The sequence below is a fragment of the Homo sapiens genome, chromosome 12 (assembly GCF_000001405.40).
Source record: "Homo sapiens chromosome 12, GRCh38.p14 Primary Assembly".
NCBI lineage: Eukaryota > Metazoa > Chordata > Mammalia > Primates > Hominidae > Homo > Homo sapiens.
In genome coordinates, this window is record NC_000012.12 from 75596317 (window position 1) to 75614864 (window position 18548).

An 18548-nucleotide genomic window follows, 5' to 3' on the forward strand; every position below is an offset into this window, starting at 1 on the left:
TTCTGGCTACCAGTATCTCCTCTCTCCTTCACACCAGTGTGACAACCAAAAATGTCTTCTGAGGTGTAAAATCGTCCTGGTTGAGAGCACTTTACCCACACTTACTCTGCCAAGCACTTGCCTGAGTGATTTACATTTACCCTACTCTGTTCTCACTATGAAGTTTTTTCCTAAGCAATGTTTAAAAATTTGGCAAAACTTAGGTGACTTTGAGCACATCCTTGAACAAATGAACTAGGTTTTTCCAGTTCCTAACCATAGGCTGAACCTTGGACCTCATGCTATTGTTGACTAGGGTGGCTTAGTCTAGAGCATGTTTATGGGTCATAGCCATATCAGTATACTCATGAACGTTTATAGAGCAACCTAAGTGTATCCTTCTTATTTATGACTTGTAAGCTCACTATTGTTAAAATATTACAGTTCTTTAATTGTAAAATACCATTCATTGATTGTAGGATTCACAACAGCTTTTTTTCTACTTAAAATATATATTAAATGTTAAAAAGTATTCTTTTTAGCTTAATAAACCACAAATGGTATATGTATTTGCATTCCACTTTATTTTTCAGGACTACTCACAGGAGTTTAAGGATGACAGCCTTCAAATGTTAAAATGCACATTCCTGGCTCCTACCTTCCATATTTTACCTTGAGGATGAGCAGGAGATCCCAGGGATGCAATCAATTCTAAACAAGCATATCAGCTAATTCTAATGTAGCCCACCAACATACATTGAGAAAGATTGGTCTAAGCCTTCTTAACATTTAGGATGTAAAGACTGTTCTAAGTCACTGCTGTCCCTTGGCAGTCATGTGCAACATCAAGTGTCATTACACACCACTATTCAGGCTTAATCACAACCATGAGACATCCTAAACAGTACCAGGGATTCATCTGAACTCTCTACTTAGCCAAATTTGTAATTTTACTTCTGGTAATTAAATGATATACCACTGGGAGGTAGTTTGTCTCATAAGCCGGCTGGGACCTTTCAACTAATAGACATTTGATGCTGCGGGTGCCTTTTTGATGCTTACATTGTCTATACCAACTTCTGCTATCTTAGAAAATTCTCCACTTATTCTCCCAAATTTTCTGCAGCCTTTCAATATGTCACCTGAACTAAAACAGATAACCTTCCTAATGCAAAATAACTTAAAGATTGCACCATAAAATCTATTTTAGAAAAAGTTTTCAGTGACAGGGATATGCATTTCATTAAAACTTTACCAGAATGTGATGTTATTAATGTAGGCTCTTAATTGAGGTGACAATTGGATGATCAATAGCCTGACACCTGTTAAATTTGTGTATGTTTAGTCATTGACAACTACTTATCAACTTACCTTCTCCCTGGTGGCAGCAAATTTCATTTGACATTGATTGTAAGATACATTCAGATTTTTCAAATAATCAAATATAGGGAAGGTTATTTTATGTGGGGGGATAATGAGTAATTAGTGGGTATGATGTACATTATCCAGGTGATGGATATCCTAAAGCTTTGAATTAACCACTACACAATCTATGCATGTAACAAAATTGCATTTGTACTTCATTCATTATACAAATTTTTTAAAAAGTTATTTTACAATGGAAACAGGAATTCTCCTAGTTAAGATTTTAAGCCTAAGCTTTACTTTGCTAATCAGTGTGCTTTTCAAGAATATTTAAATGATTAGTTAGATTCATCTGAACAGGGGAAACAGTGTCTTAAATAGAATTTTGAAAAAAGAATAAATTTTACTATTGTATGAAAGAAATAGTACAGCTTCTGAATTAATGGAGCGTCTATTTACATCTCACATGGTAGTACCCATAATTAGCATGTTCTTAGTAAATGTGTTTGTTTCCTAAACAAAAACGTATAAGCTAATTCAATAATTAAGGCTTAACTTCCTTTTCCTCAACAAACCATGGAATTAGTCAAAAGATACAGAAGGAGGTTTATCAGACAGAAAGCTACAGGATTAAGTGTGTAAACCAAATTAATACCAGAAATTGTTTAGCTCTGTTTAATTTCAGGAGGGCATGTTCCACAGTGATAACTTTAGAGCATATTCAAGAATTGATTGTTTCTATTAATAAGATATGCCAATGCCTGTTTTATTTGGTAGGTTAAGAACCATCTGATGAGTTATTCTTATCCCATACAGATAGTACAAAGAATAGAAGAAGGGAATGCAAAACTTTCTTTATAATTCATCTTATAACTAATCTCATAATGAGTATTTATTAATCATATTTTATATATATATATATATTTTTTTTTTTTTTTGAGACAGTGTCTCAATCTTTTGCCCAGGCTACAGTGCAGTGGCGTGATCTCAACTCACTGGAACCTCCACCTCCCAGGTTCAAACAATTCTCCTGCCTCAGCCTCCTGAGTAGCTGCAATTACAGGTGAGTGTCACCACACCCAGCTAATTTTTGTATTTTTAGTAGAGACAGGGTTTCACCTTGTTGGCCAGGCTGGTCTCAAACTCCTGACCTCAAGTGATCCGCCTGCCTCAGCCTCCCAAAGTGCTGGGATTACAGGCATGAGCAACTGCGCCCAGCCATATATATTTAATAATATATTATTTATTATAAGTAATAAATAAAAATATTATAGTACTTATCAATAATCTTATAAATAATCTTACAGTAATCTGTTCATCTTATAAATAATCATTACCTACCCACCAAAGTTCTCCGATAAGTGTTATTTGAAGACTTAGGTAGACAGAAAAGCAAAAAGTAGTGGAGCTAAAGACTATTAAGTAACTTGCATCTTCATCCCATTAGAACCACTCCCTATCCACCGAAAAACATTTAGTCTGATTTATGGTCAAGTTGCAAGAAGGCAGCAAAGCCTCTGCAACGCAGAAGGCCAGCAACATCAAGAAGTTCTCTCTATTGTTTTCTCCCATTGAATCTGGCCTCTGAAGTGTTATGCCAAAGTAAGCATGGGATTTAGTCAAGGGAAAATCTCCTGGGATTCATTTCTTGGACTTGGAAAGTCTTATAGTGCATCTGCCTTATAGTGGCTGGGTTATGGAGCAGTGCCATGGCAACCAAGGTACAACTGCAGCTTCAGTCTCGCTGGCAGCATTGAGCAGTCATGGAACATAGGGACATCCCCCTAACAATTGCCATAGTCTAAATGTAGTGATATGAAGGCCACATAATGGTGGCAAAAACTGGAATAAAAAGGAATAAACAAATGGGGACAAAATTACAAAGAAGACTAACCAGAACTAGGAGAAGAGAAAGAGAAGGCAAAATCAAAAGCTATTTCCCTTTTGAAACCTATGAGACTGTGAATATAGCATTGCCATTAATAGCAATAGGAAAGTCATAAAGATAAATGTTTTGGGTCTCAAAAGATAGGTGAGGTTTGCAGTTTACTAAATTCGAAGGGCCAATCCATTTGGAAGTGTGAAGTTGGCTTGTCGGAGAATAGAAAAAAAAACTACTCAAGGGAGGATTTGGGAATTGGCATAAAGATGTCACTGAAACTGAAGAAGTACATGTGTTTTTCATGGGACAAAGTACACAGATTAAGCTTCTGTAGATGGCTAAGGATAAAAGTTTCAAAAATATTTCTATTTAGCAGAAGGTGGAGGAAAAAGAGGCATCTAAAAAGACAAAATTCTGGCAGCTGGTATATCCTTCACTTGCCTGTGAGCCGTGAGCCCTCCACACTTTGCCCACTCCAGTTCTACTCTGTCCGATGCTTCCACCATGGCCCAAGCTGGCATTGCACTGATTGGACTGGCTGTCATGGGCCAGAACTTAATATTGTGCATGAATGACCATGGCTTCATGGCCTGTGCTTTTAATAGTACAGTCTCCAAAGTTGATGATTTCTTGGCAACAAGGCAAAGGGAACCAAAGATGTTGATGTTCAGTCCTTGACGGAGATGGTCTCCAAACTGAAAAAGCCACAGGCGTATCATCCCTCTTGTGAAGGCTGGTCAAGCTGTTGATGATTTCATGAAAAAATTAGTACCATTGTTGCACACTGGTGATGTCATCATTGATGGAGGAAATTCTGAATATAGGGATGACACAAGACGATGTAGATACCACAAGGCCAAGAAAATTTTATCAGTGGAGAGCAAAGTTAGTGCTGGAGGAAAAGGATCCCAGTATGGCCTATCACTCATGCCAAGAGGGAACAAAAGCTGGCCCCTATCAAGGCAATCTTCTAAGGCATCACTGCAAAAGAAAGAACTGAGGAACTTTTCTCTGACTGGGTGGGAGAGGAGGGAGCAGGCCACGTTGTAAAGATGGTGTACAATGGGATACAGTATGGGGATATGCAGCTGATCTGTGGGGCTTACCACCTGATGAAACATGTGCTGGGCATGGAGCAAAACAAGATGGCACAGGATTTTAAGGATTGGAATAAGACAGAGCTCGACTCATTCTTGAATGAAATCAAAACAAGATGACGGAGGCCTTTGAGGACTAGAATAAGACAGAGCTCGATCCATTCTTGATTGAAATCACAGCCAATATTCTAAGATACTGATAGCAAATACCTGCTGCCAAAGATCAGGGACAGCACAGGACAGAAGGGCACCAGAAAGTGGACCACCATCTCCACCCTGGAAGATGGCATTCCTGTCACCTTCATTGGAAAAGCTATCTTTGCTCGGTGCTTATCCTCTCTGAAGGATGAAAGAATTCAAGCTAGCAAAAAGCTGAAGGGTTCCCAAAAGATCTAGTTTGATGGTGATAAGAAATCATTCCTAGAAGACATTCGGAATGACCTCTATGCTTCCAAGATCATCTCTTATGCTCAAGGCTTTATACTGCTAAGACAGGCAACCACTGAATTTGGCTGGACCCTCAATTATGGTTGTATTGTCCTGTTGTGGAGGAGGGAGGCTGCATCATCAGAGGTGTATTTCTAGGAAAGATAAAGGATGCATTTCATCAACGCCCAGAACTTGAGAACCTATTATTAGACGACTTCTTTAAGTTGGCTGTTGAAAACTGCCAGGACTGCTGGTGGTGGGTGGTCAGCACTGGGGTCCAAGCTAGCATTCCCATGCCCTGTTTCACCATTGCTGTCTCCTTCTGTGATGGATATAGACACGAGATGCTCCCAGCCAACCTCATCCAGACTCAGCGGGATTACTTCGGGGCTCACACTTATGAAGGCTTAGAAAAACAGGGACAGTTTACCCACACCAATTGGACAGGCCATGGTGGCAGTGTGTCATGCTCTTCACATAATGCCTAATCATGCTGTTTCTGTTGCCCGTCACAATTCCATAGACCGGGACGTTTCATGTATCACACAACCACACAACACCACTTAATGGTCCTTTGTTCTATTTTCTGCTCAGGTCTTTTAAAATAAAAGAATGTAAGAGACTCCCAGAAAAGTCATATAGAGTTTATTTATGAAGTAGCTCTGTGAGAACCATCATGCCCTCTGCCCTTGCCTCTTGGGACTGACCAGGAGCTGATAATGTGCACGAGAGTGAGAACCAACCCGTTGAAGCAGTCGTTCCTAAGTGCTCCCTGTGGACTAGTGAGGCTCCTCTCACGTAAATAGGAAGACTGTTGTTACAAGTTGATCAAACTGGAATATTTCTATCATGCAGCTGAATTCCCTTTTTCCTTTACTCAATAAAAGCTATATTTTATTAAAAAAAGAAAGACAAAATTCTGAAAGGGTATCAAGAAAGTTTCATGGCAGAGATACACATTTCAAGGAAAGAGCTGGTCAGCTGTGTCATGGATGCATTTAAAAACCAAGAGGAAACTGAAGGCAGATGACATTATGGTGAACATACTGGAAAGGAATTAAAGCAGCTTGTGATAAGTTGAAGGCAAATTTGAAGGAAGATCACTTGGTGACAGTCCTCTAGGGATTGTGCAGTGACACCTTATATTTCATCTCCAGCTCAGCCCGAACACATGGCACAAATGAGAATCTTCTCATATGAGGATTTCATCTGGGTTTATAACCTAGTCAGTTCTATTTCTTTATTTGCCTCCAGAAGGGCTAGAAGCAAACCCCATCTGCATTCCCAAGGGAGGCAGGATAAGGCTCATTAACAAGATGTTTGAAATGGCCCTGCTTGCAGTTTTACAAAGAAACGTTATGAATTAGCAGTGTAATATGTTACACGGTACAATCTCTCACCACCACAGACCCGGGATTTAGTGCTTTATAGTATAGCTATATTTTAAATAAGACATAATTAGTATCAGAACTGTCAGATTTCAGCATCTTAAAATTAGATACTAAAAGTAAGGTTGATAAAATTATTTTGCATCAAATATTAAAAGATGGTTTCCTGTAAGAAATATAAATATGGCATATCTTAATTTTCAAATTTAGCAAAACTGAAACCAAATCTTCCCATAGTAATAAATCTCTCTATATCATACAAAAGCTCTCTCTAGTCTATCCCGGAGATTTTAAATAAAGTGTAAAATTAACACATTTAATTTCTGTAAAATATTTCATATTTCCTTCTTGATGTATGGCACTCCTCTAGATTTTATGAATATATTCTGGAATTTACTGTTGCTATTTCAAATACTTTATCATATTTTGTTATACTGTATGATGCATTAGAAATTGATGAAGAAATAAGACTACAATTTGATTAATTATAGGCCAGAGGTTTTAATTATGCCTTTCAGTTAATCAAAGTAATTTCCTCTGTTATAACAGAAGTAATCCTTTTACAGACTTTTTTTTTTTTTTTTTTTTTTTGAGATGGAGTCTCTCACTCTGTTGCCCAGGCTGGAGTGCAATGGCACGATCTCAGCTTTACAAAAACAAAAAGGCTTTATAATCCTAGGCTTACTTTTACTCACCATTGTTTACTAATTGAAGTTTAGAAATATTTAATGCAAGTAGTGGCTATGGTTTATTTTATTATTATTATTATTTTTTTGAGACAGGGTCTCACTCTGTCACCCAGGCTGGAGTGCAGTGGTGCAACCTTGGCTTACTGCAACCTCTGCCTCCCATGTTCAAGTGATTCTCCTGCCTCAGCCTCCCTAGTGGCTGCGACTACAGGTGCCTGCCATGGTGCCCAGCTAATTTTTGTATTTTTTGTAGAGATGGGGTTTCACCATTTTGGCCACGCTGGTCTTGAACTCCTGACCTCAGGTGATCCGCCTGCCTTGGCCTCCCAAAGTGCTGGAATTACAGGTGTGAGCCACCGTGCTCGGTCCTTTTACAGACATAATTTTTATGCACAGTCAATAATCCTACATTTTATAGAGTTATATCTAATTATAAATAGCAGAGCATTACATTGAACTAACCCCAGTATTCTCATAATGACTAAAGGTCAGTAACCAAGCCAAGCCCAGGAATGTGGCTGGGCTCCAAGAATAATCTAGAATGATCCAGGTTTTGTCCATGCTCCATTCTGCCCTTCAATTTCATTGTTTTCTTTCTCTGAGGACTAGCTTTCTCTGCTCCCAGTCAACATACAAAACATGGAGAACAGTAGCTCCCTGATTCTATGTGTTAGAATTCAGTCATTCAGGAAGAAACTAAACGTACTCTTTCTGTTCCAATTTTAAAATTCCTAGGCAAAAAAAATGGCTATTTTCATCAGTTGTCCATTCTTCGATGAGTCAACTCTGGTCAAGGAGTGGGTACACGTTGGAGAATAGGGTTTGACCCAACCTGTCAACTGGAGACAGGAGCCATGGACATGTAGGGCTCAATGGCTGCCCTGGATCTACGGCCATTATGATGAGGATGTGATGTGCACCTATACACCAACACACCAGAGACTGTCCTAAAGAGTGATAACTTAATTCAGTCGCTTTAATTTTTTAAAAAAATCAATTTTAAAAAGTCAATTTGCTTAGAAGAAAACTACAATCATAACTATTACTTGGGTCTGTTTAAACAATTTTATTTTTAAAAACTTTGTGATTTTGGTGATGCATAAACACACTGTGGTTATTTTTATTTGCCTATTGGGAATTCTGATGAAAAATTAGGTGAGCAAAGGGACATATTTTTTAAACTATAAGACAGCTGTTCTTATTCAGTCACTGAGTGATAAGGAGGGAAGTTTAAGGCTTAGAATTCTTGGTTGTTGTAGAAGATACTTGAGTTGCTGACTTTACCCTTTCATGTTTGCTTTCCTGCCCTGCAGAAACAAGAAAGTGAAATCCTTCTTATATCCCTGAATCCCCAGAAGCCCTAGGTAGTCCTGTTACTTGGTTCTGGTGAATGGGATATAAGTGAAAAACTATTGGTGCTTCCCCTTCTGTTCTTCCTGCCTGAAATCCTGGAGGGATACCTGAGGTGCATCAGCCACCCCTAAGGATAGAAAAAGAAGGAAAAGAAGAGAAAGTGAGAAAGCATGGACTGCCTCTGCTTGGAGTCCTCTTGTATGAGGCAGACAAATTCCTTAATATAAGCCACTCTGTGGGGTTTTTGTGAAACTCATAGCCGAGCACAATACACTGGATATAGCTATCCCAGCATCAGGAAAGTGGCAAGAATTACTGAAAGTTGGTACTTAAAGGTAGCCAATTGCTACTGCAAATCTTTTTGCCCTTGTGATGGTTAATTTTATGTGTCAACTTGATTGGGGCATAGGATGCCCAGATATTTGGTCCAACATTATTCTGGGTATGTCTGTGAAGGTGTTTCTGGATGAGATTAACATTTGAATCTACAGACTGAGTAAAGTAGATTGCTTTCTCTAATGTGGGTGGGCCTCATCCAGTCAGTTAAAGACCTGAGTAGAACAAAAAGGCTGAATAAGAGGGAACCTCTCCTGCTTGACTGCATAAGCTGAGACCTTGGTCTTTTCCTGGTTTTGGACTTGAAATGAAAAATAGACCCTTGAGTATCAATACTGCCAGCTTTAAGACTGAAACTTACACTACTGGCTCTCTTGGTTCTCAGACCTTTGGACTCAGGCTGGAACTACACTATCAACTCTCCTGGGTCCCCAGCTTACTGGGGATCTTGTACTGGGGGCTGCAGATCTGAGACTTCTCAGCTCCATAATCATGTCAGCCAAATCATAATAAATGTCTCTCTGTCTCTCTAATTTTTCTTTCTCTAGAGGCCCTTGACTATTTGGGAGGTGTGGTAGGCTGAATAATAGCCCTCCCAGAGATATCCACATCCAAAATAACAAAAACCTGTGAATATGTTACGTACATGGTTAAAAAGACACTGCAGATGTGATTAAGTATCTTGAGATGGAGAGATTATCCTGAGTTATCTCGGTATTCACATGGGTTCTTGTAACAGAGAAGTAGGTAGGTCAGAGACATGGAAAGAAGATATGGAGTTGGAAGCAAAGTTCAGAGAGGAAAGAAGATGCTACCCTGCTGACTTGGAAGACAGAAGAAGAGGCCTTGAACCAAGGAGTAGAGGTAGCCTCTAAAAACTGGAATAGGCCAGAAAATTGATTCTTACCTAGCACCTCCTAGGCAGCCCCATGGACCCATTTTTTACTTCTGACCTCCATAATTATAAAACGTTAAACTTGTGTGTTATACTACTAAGTGTGTTTTAATTTGCTAGGGCAGCAGTAGGAAACTAACATAGGGGATTTGATTAACAGTATAAATGCAACTGGACTCCAGCAAGTGTTCCCAAAGAATCACACAACCTCTACTCACCCCTCAAATCCATTCAGGGCACAGTGGGGTCAGCATGCGACCATGCACTTTCAGCAGATTAAAAGTTTCCTTTTTGATCTAATAAGAACAGCAATGTAGACTTAATGGCAAATTTGGTTTCTTATATCCAAAATTGAATTTTGAACTCAGCTACCAAGAGGTGTTTGTGACTAGGCTGTATCTACTGAGTAGAAATTTCATTCAAGTGACATTTGACATAGAACTCTCTAGATGCATGATTAATTTTTGCAGATCAGGTATTACCTCATTATCAGATGTGTAGAAAGTAACAATGTAATCATAAAGCAGCTATTTTCAGTGCACTCCGCCAGGTTATTTCTCTGCCAAATCATTATGCCCTGGGAAACAGCACGTGGCATTATCAAAACAAGTTTGTTCTCATGAGCAGTCAGTTCAGATAATTGCATCTTTATTACTGACAGTCCCCTTAGGAAATCTGGGTCCTGAGTTCTGTTCTTCTCTGGAACTGCAATTCATTAAAGTTTCCATCCTGAGCCAGTTTTAATTAAACTGTGCTCCTTTTCTCTTTAGTGTCACATAGCTCATTTTTCCTGGCAGGCTAGAGTTATTGTAGAAATCCAGCTGTTGAATTAATCTGAGACCCCTTCCTATTTGTCATTTTAAGAAATCTCCTGTCAATTTACAAGTTCAGCAGCTGAAAGAGCATAAAATGTACCAGCTTGCACAAAAAGAACATGAAAAGCAGGAAAGGAAAACGAAAAAGAAAGGAAATACTAGGTAGTACCTCACTCTGCATCTTTTAGAAAATAAAACTAGTACTTGGAGACATTCATAAGCTGACGTGATGTTTATGGCAATAATACTAGGTGATAAATTTAATGTCTTAAATATAGATTTTGTTTAGCTCTTTTCATTCCGAAATTAAACTGCCTTGTAACTGGTATGGTATGATTCATAACTTTTCATCCCCTTTCCAATAGGATTCTCTTAACTGGCTATAATCATTCTTTTTTTATGCACAAAATAAAAGAGATTTGTTTGTTTGTTACTTATGTGTTTTCACTGACAAGCAATAATGCATCATTAACTGCATCTCTTGTTAGTTGTCATTATTGGTTTGCAGAGTGATAACTTTGTCTCAGCAACACAGGTTCTCCCTCATTATGGGTAAGAATAAAAGAGCCTTTTTGTTCATTCAACAATCTAATAAATATTCATCGAGTGCCTTCTTTGTGAAAGGCCTAGCACAAGACAATGCATAGAATATAAAACTGTCTAAGATAGGCTCTATTTTCTGGCAATTTATTGAGGTAACTTACACGTGTTGACTTTCAGGGACTCAGGGACTCTTCACCGCATTTCCTTTTATCCCCCTTCCCCTTGACAATGTTTGGGAAAGAGGATTTGACAATAGAAAGTCTGAAGAAGGTGGGCTGGGTATGGTGGCTCACACCTGTAATCACAGCACTTTGGGAGACCAAGATGGGTGGATCACTTGAGCGTAGGAGTTCAAGACCAGCCTGGGCAACATGGCAAAACCCTGTCTCTACAGAAAATATAAAAATTAGCTGAGCATGGTGCTGTGTGCCTGTAGTTCCAGCTACTCAGCAGGCTAAAGTGGCAGAATCACTTGAGCACCGGACGTTTAGGCTGCAGTCAGCCTTGATCATGCCACTACACTCCAGCCTGAATGACAGAGATTCTGTCTCAAAAAAACAAAAAAAACAAAGTCTGAAGGAAAAGTGATTAGTTAAGAAGCATGGTCTAGTCATGAGGTTATTATAGGGACAAATAAGACAATAGGAATAAAAAGAAAAATAAAGTCACAGTACACATTTAAAAAGAAAGACTCAAAAGGACTCAGCAACTGATTGGCTATATAGGTAAATGTGTGGATACATTTTAAAAACCAGTGTTTCCTCTAGTTTTCTTAAAATACATATGACTATTTAAAGCAAAAATTAAAACATGGTTTTATGGGATTTAGTATAGATAGATATATAGGATTTAGTATAGATACATAGATATATGTAATACACATGAAAATTATAGCATAAAAGACTAAGGTGACAATAAGTGAAATATCCTCCATTGCTATGAAAATTGTTACATTAATGTGAATTGGCATAATATTTATTTTAACTATGCTATGAAAAGTTAAGGATATATGTTTTAATTCTTACAGCAACCACTAAAATTTAACGCAAGGAGATATAGCTAAAAAGCAATAGGTAAATTAAAATGTAACTCTAAAAATTATTCAAATAAGCTAAAAAAAAGAAGAAACAAAGGAAAGAAAAATATATAGAGATTGATATACAGAAAACAAATAATAAAAAGGCAGACCTAATCTAACCCTGTCAATAATTACATGAAATATATTAAAAATCCATACAGTCCAGTTGTATGGATAGTGTACCCATACACTTCAATCCTTTTAACTCCAGTTAAAAGGCAGAAATTTTTAGAATTAATTAAAAACAAAGCAAGGCTCAACTATTTTATGACCATATGAGATGAATTTTAGATACGAAGATGTAGATAGGTTGAAATTAAATGGAAACAGAAAGACTGAAGTGGCTATTTAATATCAAGTAAAGTAGACTTTAAGACAAAAAGTGTTATCAGAGATAAATAAGGAAGTTTGATCTGATAAAAGTGTCAATCCATCAGGAAGATACAACAATTATAAATGTGTATGTGTCTAATAACAAGGCAACAAAATACATGAAACAAAGATTGACAAAATTAAAAGGAGAAATAACTCCATGAACATAGTTGGAGACTTCAAAGCCCACTCTCAGCAAGTAATAGAACAACCAAACAGACACTTAGCAAACACATAAGAGAGTTGAACAACATTATTGATCATCTTATTCTAATTGCCATTTACAGAACAGTACATCCAGAATCAGCTGAATACACATTTGTTTCAAGTACACATGGTATGTTCATAAAGGAACTATATTCTGGAGTATAAAATAAGTCTAGTAAATTTCAAGAGGATTGAAATTATACAGAGGATGTTCTCTGACCACAGAGGAAAATTAATTAGAAAACAATAATGTGTCTAGAAAACTTCCTAAAATATGAAAATTAACACAATGCTAAATAAGCTAGAGGACAAAAAGGAACTGATAATAAGAATTGGAATATACTTCAAATTGAATAACAACAACGAAAAAAGCAACATATCAAAATTTGTAGACTGCAACTAAAATAGTACTTACAGAGAAATATATGGCTTTAAATAATTCTATTACAATAAAAAAGGGTCTAAAATCAATGACTGAAGATCCTTCTTGAGAAATTATAAAAAGAGAAAAGCACAAGAAGAGTATACAGAAGGAAGAAAATAATAAAGTTAAGAGCAGAAATCAATGAAAGAGAAAAATGATAGAAAAACACAGCCAAAAGTTTCTTTGAAAAGTTCAAAAAGATTTATAAACCCTAGATATACTAACTTAAGAAAAAACAAATAATGAATGTCACTATTGAGAACAAAAGAGTAGTTATTACTAAGAGAGAATAGACATTCTATCTTAGGATAGATAATGGGATAGAATAATGAGGGAATATTATTAACAATTTCATGCCAACAAATTGATCAATTCTGATGGAATGAACACTTTTTTTGAACATCAAAATGTACAAAAACTGACACAAGACAAAAATCTGAAGTGTCCTATATCTATTAAGGAAAACTAAAATAATTACTGAACTCTTTCTTCAGAGACTATTCCAGGCCCACATGGTTTCACTGATGAATTCTAACAAATATTTAAGGAAGAAATATTCTAACAAATATTTAAGAAATTCTTAAACACATTATCTCAGAAAAGAGCAGGGAACAATCTCAATTCATTTTATGATAACAGCATAATCTTAATCCATAAACTGACAAAAGACTTTTTTTTGAATTATGCATCATATCTCTTTTTTTTTTTTTTTTTTTTTTTGAGATAGAGTCTTGCTCTGTCACCCAGGCTGGAGTGCAATGGGGTGATCTTGGCTCACTGCAACCTCTGCCTCCCAGGTTCAAGCAACTCTCCTGCCTCAGCCTCCCAAGTAACTGGGATGACAGGCATGTGCCACCAAGCCCAGCTAATTTTTGTATTTTTAGTACAGACAGCATTTCACCATGTTGGCCAGGCTGGTCTTGAACTCCTGACTTCAGGTGATCTGCCTGCCTTGGCCTCCCAAAGTGCTGGGATTACAGGCATGAGCCACCGCACCTGGCCTATGCATCATATCTGTAATAAAGATAGCCTTAATTTCCTCAACTAAAATATTAGCAAATCAAATACATCAATATATATGTAAAGAACAATTACAAGGAGGAGTTACCCAAGAAATGTAAGATGGTATAACATTCTAAAATCAATATAATTCTTCATATTTTCAAAAAACGATAAAAACCATATGATTCTTTCATTAGAAGCAGAAAAATATTGACAAAACTCATCATTTATCCATGTCAAAACTCTCAGCAAACTAAAACTAGAAGAAAGCTGGGCACAGGGATGCATACCTGTAGTCCTAGCTTACTTGGAGGCTGAGGTGAGAGGATCACTTAAGCCCAGGAGTTTGAGTCCAACCTAGGCAACATACCAAGACCTTCATCTAAGATGAATTAAAGAATGAATAATAAATTTTAAAAATTGCCCTTCTGGGCTGGTCTAAAACAAACTGGAAGGAAACTTCAATTTGTTAAAGAGTATCTATAAAATCTTACAAGTAGCATTGTACTTAATGAAAAATATTGATTACATTCCCCCTAATATTGGAAATAAGTCAATAATGACCACTTTCATCTCTTTTACTCACAAGTCTTTTGGAGGCCCTTGACAATGTGATAAAAGGCAAAAAAAAAAAAAAAAAATACATTAAAAAAATTCAGATTTGAAAAAATGTAAAACTTTTTCTATCTGTAGGTTATGACTGTTTATGCAGAATATCCTAAGTAACCTACAAAACCACTACTAAAACTAATAAGCGAGACACAGGAAAATGGCAGATAGGAGGCAGGACTGACTTGCAGCTCCCACTAGGACAGACAGAGCAGCGTGTGGAGACCCACATCGTGAACTTTTGCTCCAAGAACTACTGCAGGAACATACCAGGAAAGCCAAGAGCATCCACAGACCCTTTGAAGGAGCTGGATTGCCACTGGCCACTGCAGGCTACATAGGACAGCTGAGGAACTCCAAAGCAAACGAGATAATCCCTTGGGAGCTTTATGGCCCTGCCTACTGCCTGAGAAATCTGAATTTGCCCTAGGGTGCTAGGGCAAGCTTGTATTCTCCCTATACAACTGCAGTTGATGTGCTCTTAAAAGCGCCACCTCCTGCCTGGAGGCTAAACTTCACAAAACCAGTGCAAAACCAAAAATACACCAAGACCTTCAAAGAGTCCGCTTCACTCGCCTGCTACTTCCACCAGAGCAGGTGCTGGTATCCATGGCTGAGAGACCTCAAAACAGATCACACCACAGGACTTTTTGCACACTCTCCAGTATTATCCCAGAGCCTGGTAGCTCTGCTGGGTGGCTAGATCCAGAAGAGAAATAACAATCACTGCAATTCGGGTCTCAGGAAACCCCATCCCTAGGGGAAAGTGGAGAGCACCACATTAAGGGAGCACTCTGTGGGACAAAAGAATTTGAATAGTAGCCCTTGAGTCCCAGATCTTCCCTCTGACATAGTCTACTCAAATGAGAAGAAACCAGATAAACGAATCTGGTAATATGACAAAACAAGGTTCTTTAATACCCACAAATGATCACACTAGCTCACCAACAATGGATCCAAACCAAGACGAAATCTTTCTGAATTGCCAGAAAAAGAATTCAGAAGGTTGACTACTAAGCTATTCAAGAAGTCACCAGAGAAAGGTAAAGTCCAACTTAGAGAAATCAAAAACATGATATAGGACATGAATGAAAAAATCTCCAGTGAAATAGATAACATTAAATTTAAAAAAAAAATCAACTTCTGGAAATGAAGGACACACTTAGAGATATGCAAAATGCACTGGAAAGCCTCAGCAATAGTATTGAACAAGTAGAAGAAAGAACTTCAGAGCTCAAAGACAAGGCTTTTGAATTAACCCAATCCAACAAAGACAAAGCAAAAAGAATTTTAAAAAATAAGCAAAGCCTCCAAGAAGCTTGGGATTATGTTAAACAACCAAATCTAAGAATAATTGATGTTCCTGAGGAAGAAGAGACATCCAAATATTTGGAAAACATATTTGGAATAATCAAGAAAAACTTCCCCAGCCTTGCTAGGGATCTAGACATCCAAATATGAGAAGCTCAAAGAACATCTGGGAAATTAATTGCAAAAAGTCATTGCCCAGGCACATAGCATCGTGTTATCTAAAGTCAAGATGAAAAAAATAACCTTAAGAGCTATGAGGCCAAAGCATCAGGTAACCTATAAAGGAAAACCTATCAGATTAACAGCAGATTTCCCAGCAGAAACCCTACAATCTAGAAGGGATTAAGGTCCTACCTTTGGCCTCCTTAAACAAAACAATTACCAGCAAGAATTTTGTATCCAGTGAAAGTAAGCTTTATAAATGAAGAAAAGATACAGTCTTTTTCAGACAAACACATGCTGAGAGAATTTGCCACTACCAAGCCAGCACTACAAGAACTGCTAGAAGGAGCTCTAAATCTTGAAACAAATCCTCAATATACACCAAAATAGAATCTCCTTAAAGCATAAACCTCACAGGACCTATAAAACAATAACACAATGGGAAAAAAAACCAAGTTATTCAGGCAACAAATGGCATGAGAATAGAATAGTTCTTCACATCTTAATACTGATGTTGAATGTAAATAGCCTAAATGCTCCACTTAAAAAATACAGAATGGCAGAATGGATTAAAATTTCACCAACCAAGTATCTGCTGTCTTCAAGACATTCATCTGACACATAAGGACTCACATAAACTTAAGGTAAATGGATGGAAAAAGGTATTCCATGCAAATGGACACCAAAAGTGAGCAGGAGAAGCTATTCTTATATCAGACAAAACAGTCTTTAAAGCAATAGCAGTTAAAAAAGACAAAGAGTGATATTACATAATGATAAAAGGACTAGTCCAACAGGAAAATATCACAGTCCTAAATATATATGCACCTAATACTGGAGCTCCCAAATTTATAAAACAATTACTACTAGACCTAAGAAATGAGATAGACAGCAACACAATAATAGTGGGGGACTTTAATACTCCACTGACAGCACTAGACAGGTCATCAAGACAGGAAGTCAGCAAAGAAACAGTGGACTTAAACTATACCCTAGAACAAATGGACTTAACAGATATTTACAGAAAATTCTACCCAACAACTCAAGTATATACATTCTATTAATCAGCACATAGAACATTCTCCAAGATAGACCATATGATAGGCCACAAAACAAGTCTCAACAAATTTAAGAAAATCGAAATTACAGCAAGTACTCCCTCAGACCACAGTGGAATATTATTGAAAATCAACTCCATACAGAACTATCAAAACTGTGCAAATACATGGAAATTGAATAACCTGCTCCTAAATGATTCTCGGTTCAACAATGAAATCAAGATGGAAATTAAAATATTCTTTGAACTGAATGGCAATAGTGAGACAACCTATCAAAGCCTCTGGGATACAGCAAAAGTGGCGCTAAGAGGAAAGTTCATAGCATTAAGTGCCTACATCAAAAAGTCCGAAAGAACACAAATGGACAATCTAAGGTCACACCTCAAAAAAACTAGAGAAACAAGAACAAACCAAAACCAAACCCAAACTCAGCAGAAGAAAAGAAATAAACAAGATCAGAGCAGAACTAAATGGAAATGAAACAACAAAAAAAAACTATACAAAAGATAAATGAAACAAAAAGCTGGTTCTTTGAAATGATAAATAAAATTAATAGACCATTAGCAAAACTAACCAAGAAGAGAGAAGATCCAAATAAGCTCAATTAGAAACAAAATGGGAGATATTACAACCGATACCACAGAAATACAAGAGATCATTCAAGGCTACTATGAACACCTTTACACACATAAACTAGAAAACCTAGAGGAGATGGATAAATTCCTGGAAATATACAACCCTCCTAGATTAAACCAGAAGAAATAGAAACTATGAACCGACTAATAACAAGCAGGAAGATTGACATGGTAATTTAAAAGTTACCAACAAAAAAATTCCAAGACCAGATGATTCACAGCTGAATTCTATCAGACATTCAAAGAAGAATTTGTGCAATCCTATTGACACTATTCCAGAAGACAGCCAAAGAGGGAATACTCCCTAAATCATTCTATGAAGCCAGTATCCCCCTAATACCAAAACCAGGAGAGGACATAATAAAAAAAGGAAAATACAGACCGATGAATATAGATGCAAAAATCCTCAATGAAACACGTGCGGACTGAATCCAACAACATATTAAAAAGATAATCCACTATTATCAAGTGGGTTTCATACCAGGGATGCAGGGATAGTTTAACATTGCAAGTCAATAAATGTGATACACCACATAAACAGAATTAAAACCGAAAATCACACGATCATCTCAATAGAAGCAGAAAAAGCATTTGACAAAATCCAACATTCCTTTATGATTAAAACCCTCAGTAAAATTGGCATAGAAGGAACATACCCGAAGGCAATACAAGCCATCTGTGACAAACCCACAGCCAATATTATACTAAATGGGGAAAAGTTGAAAGCATTTCCCCTGAGAACTGGAACACAACAAGGATGCCCATTTTCACCACTTCTATTCAACGTAGTACTAGAAGTCCTAACCAGAGCAATCAGACAAGAGAAAGAAATAAAAGACATCCAAATCAGTAAAGAGGAAGTCAAACTGTTGCTGTTTGCTGATGATGTGATCGTATACCTAGAAAACCCTAAAGACTC

The 18548-nt window shown here is 37.3% G+C and overlaps 1 long non-coding RNA gene and 1 pseudogene across 4 annotated transcripts in view; one reads left to right on the forward strand and one right to left on the reverse strand.

The window, feature by feature from the left end:
* The window catches only part of LOC105369844 (uncharacterized), a 310508-nt gene that overhangs the window by 72056 nt on the left and 219904 nt on the right, over positions 1 to 18548 (reverse strand). The window lies entirely within an intron of this gene.
* PGDP2 (phosphogluconate dehydrogenase pseudogene 2) lies at positions 3683 to 5403 on the forward strand (annotated as a pseudogene).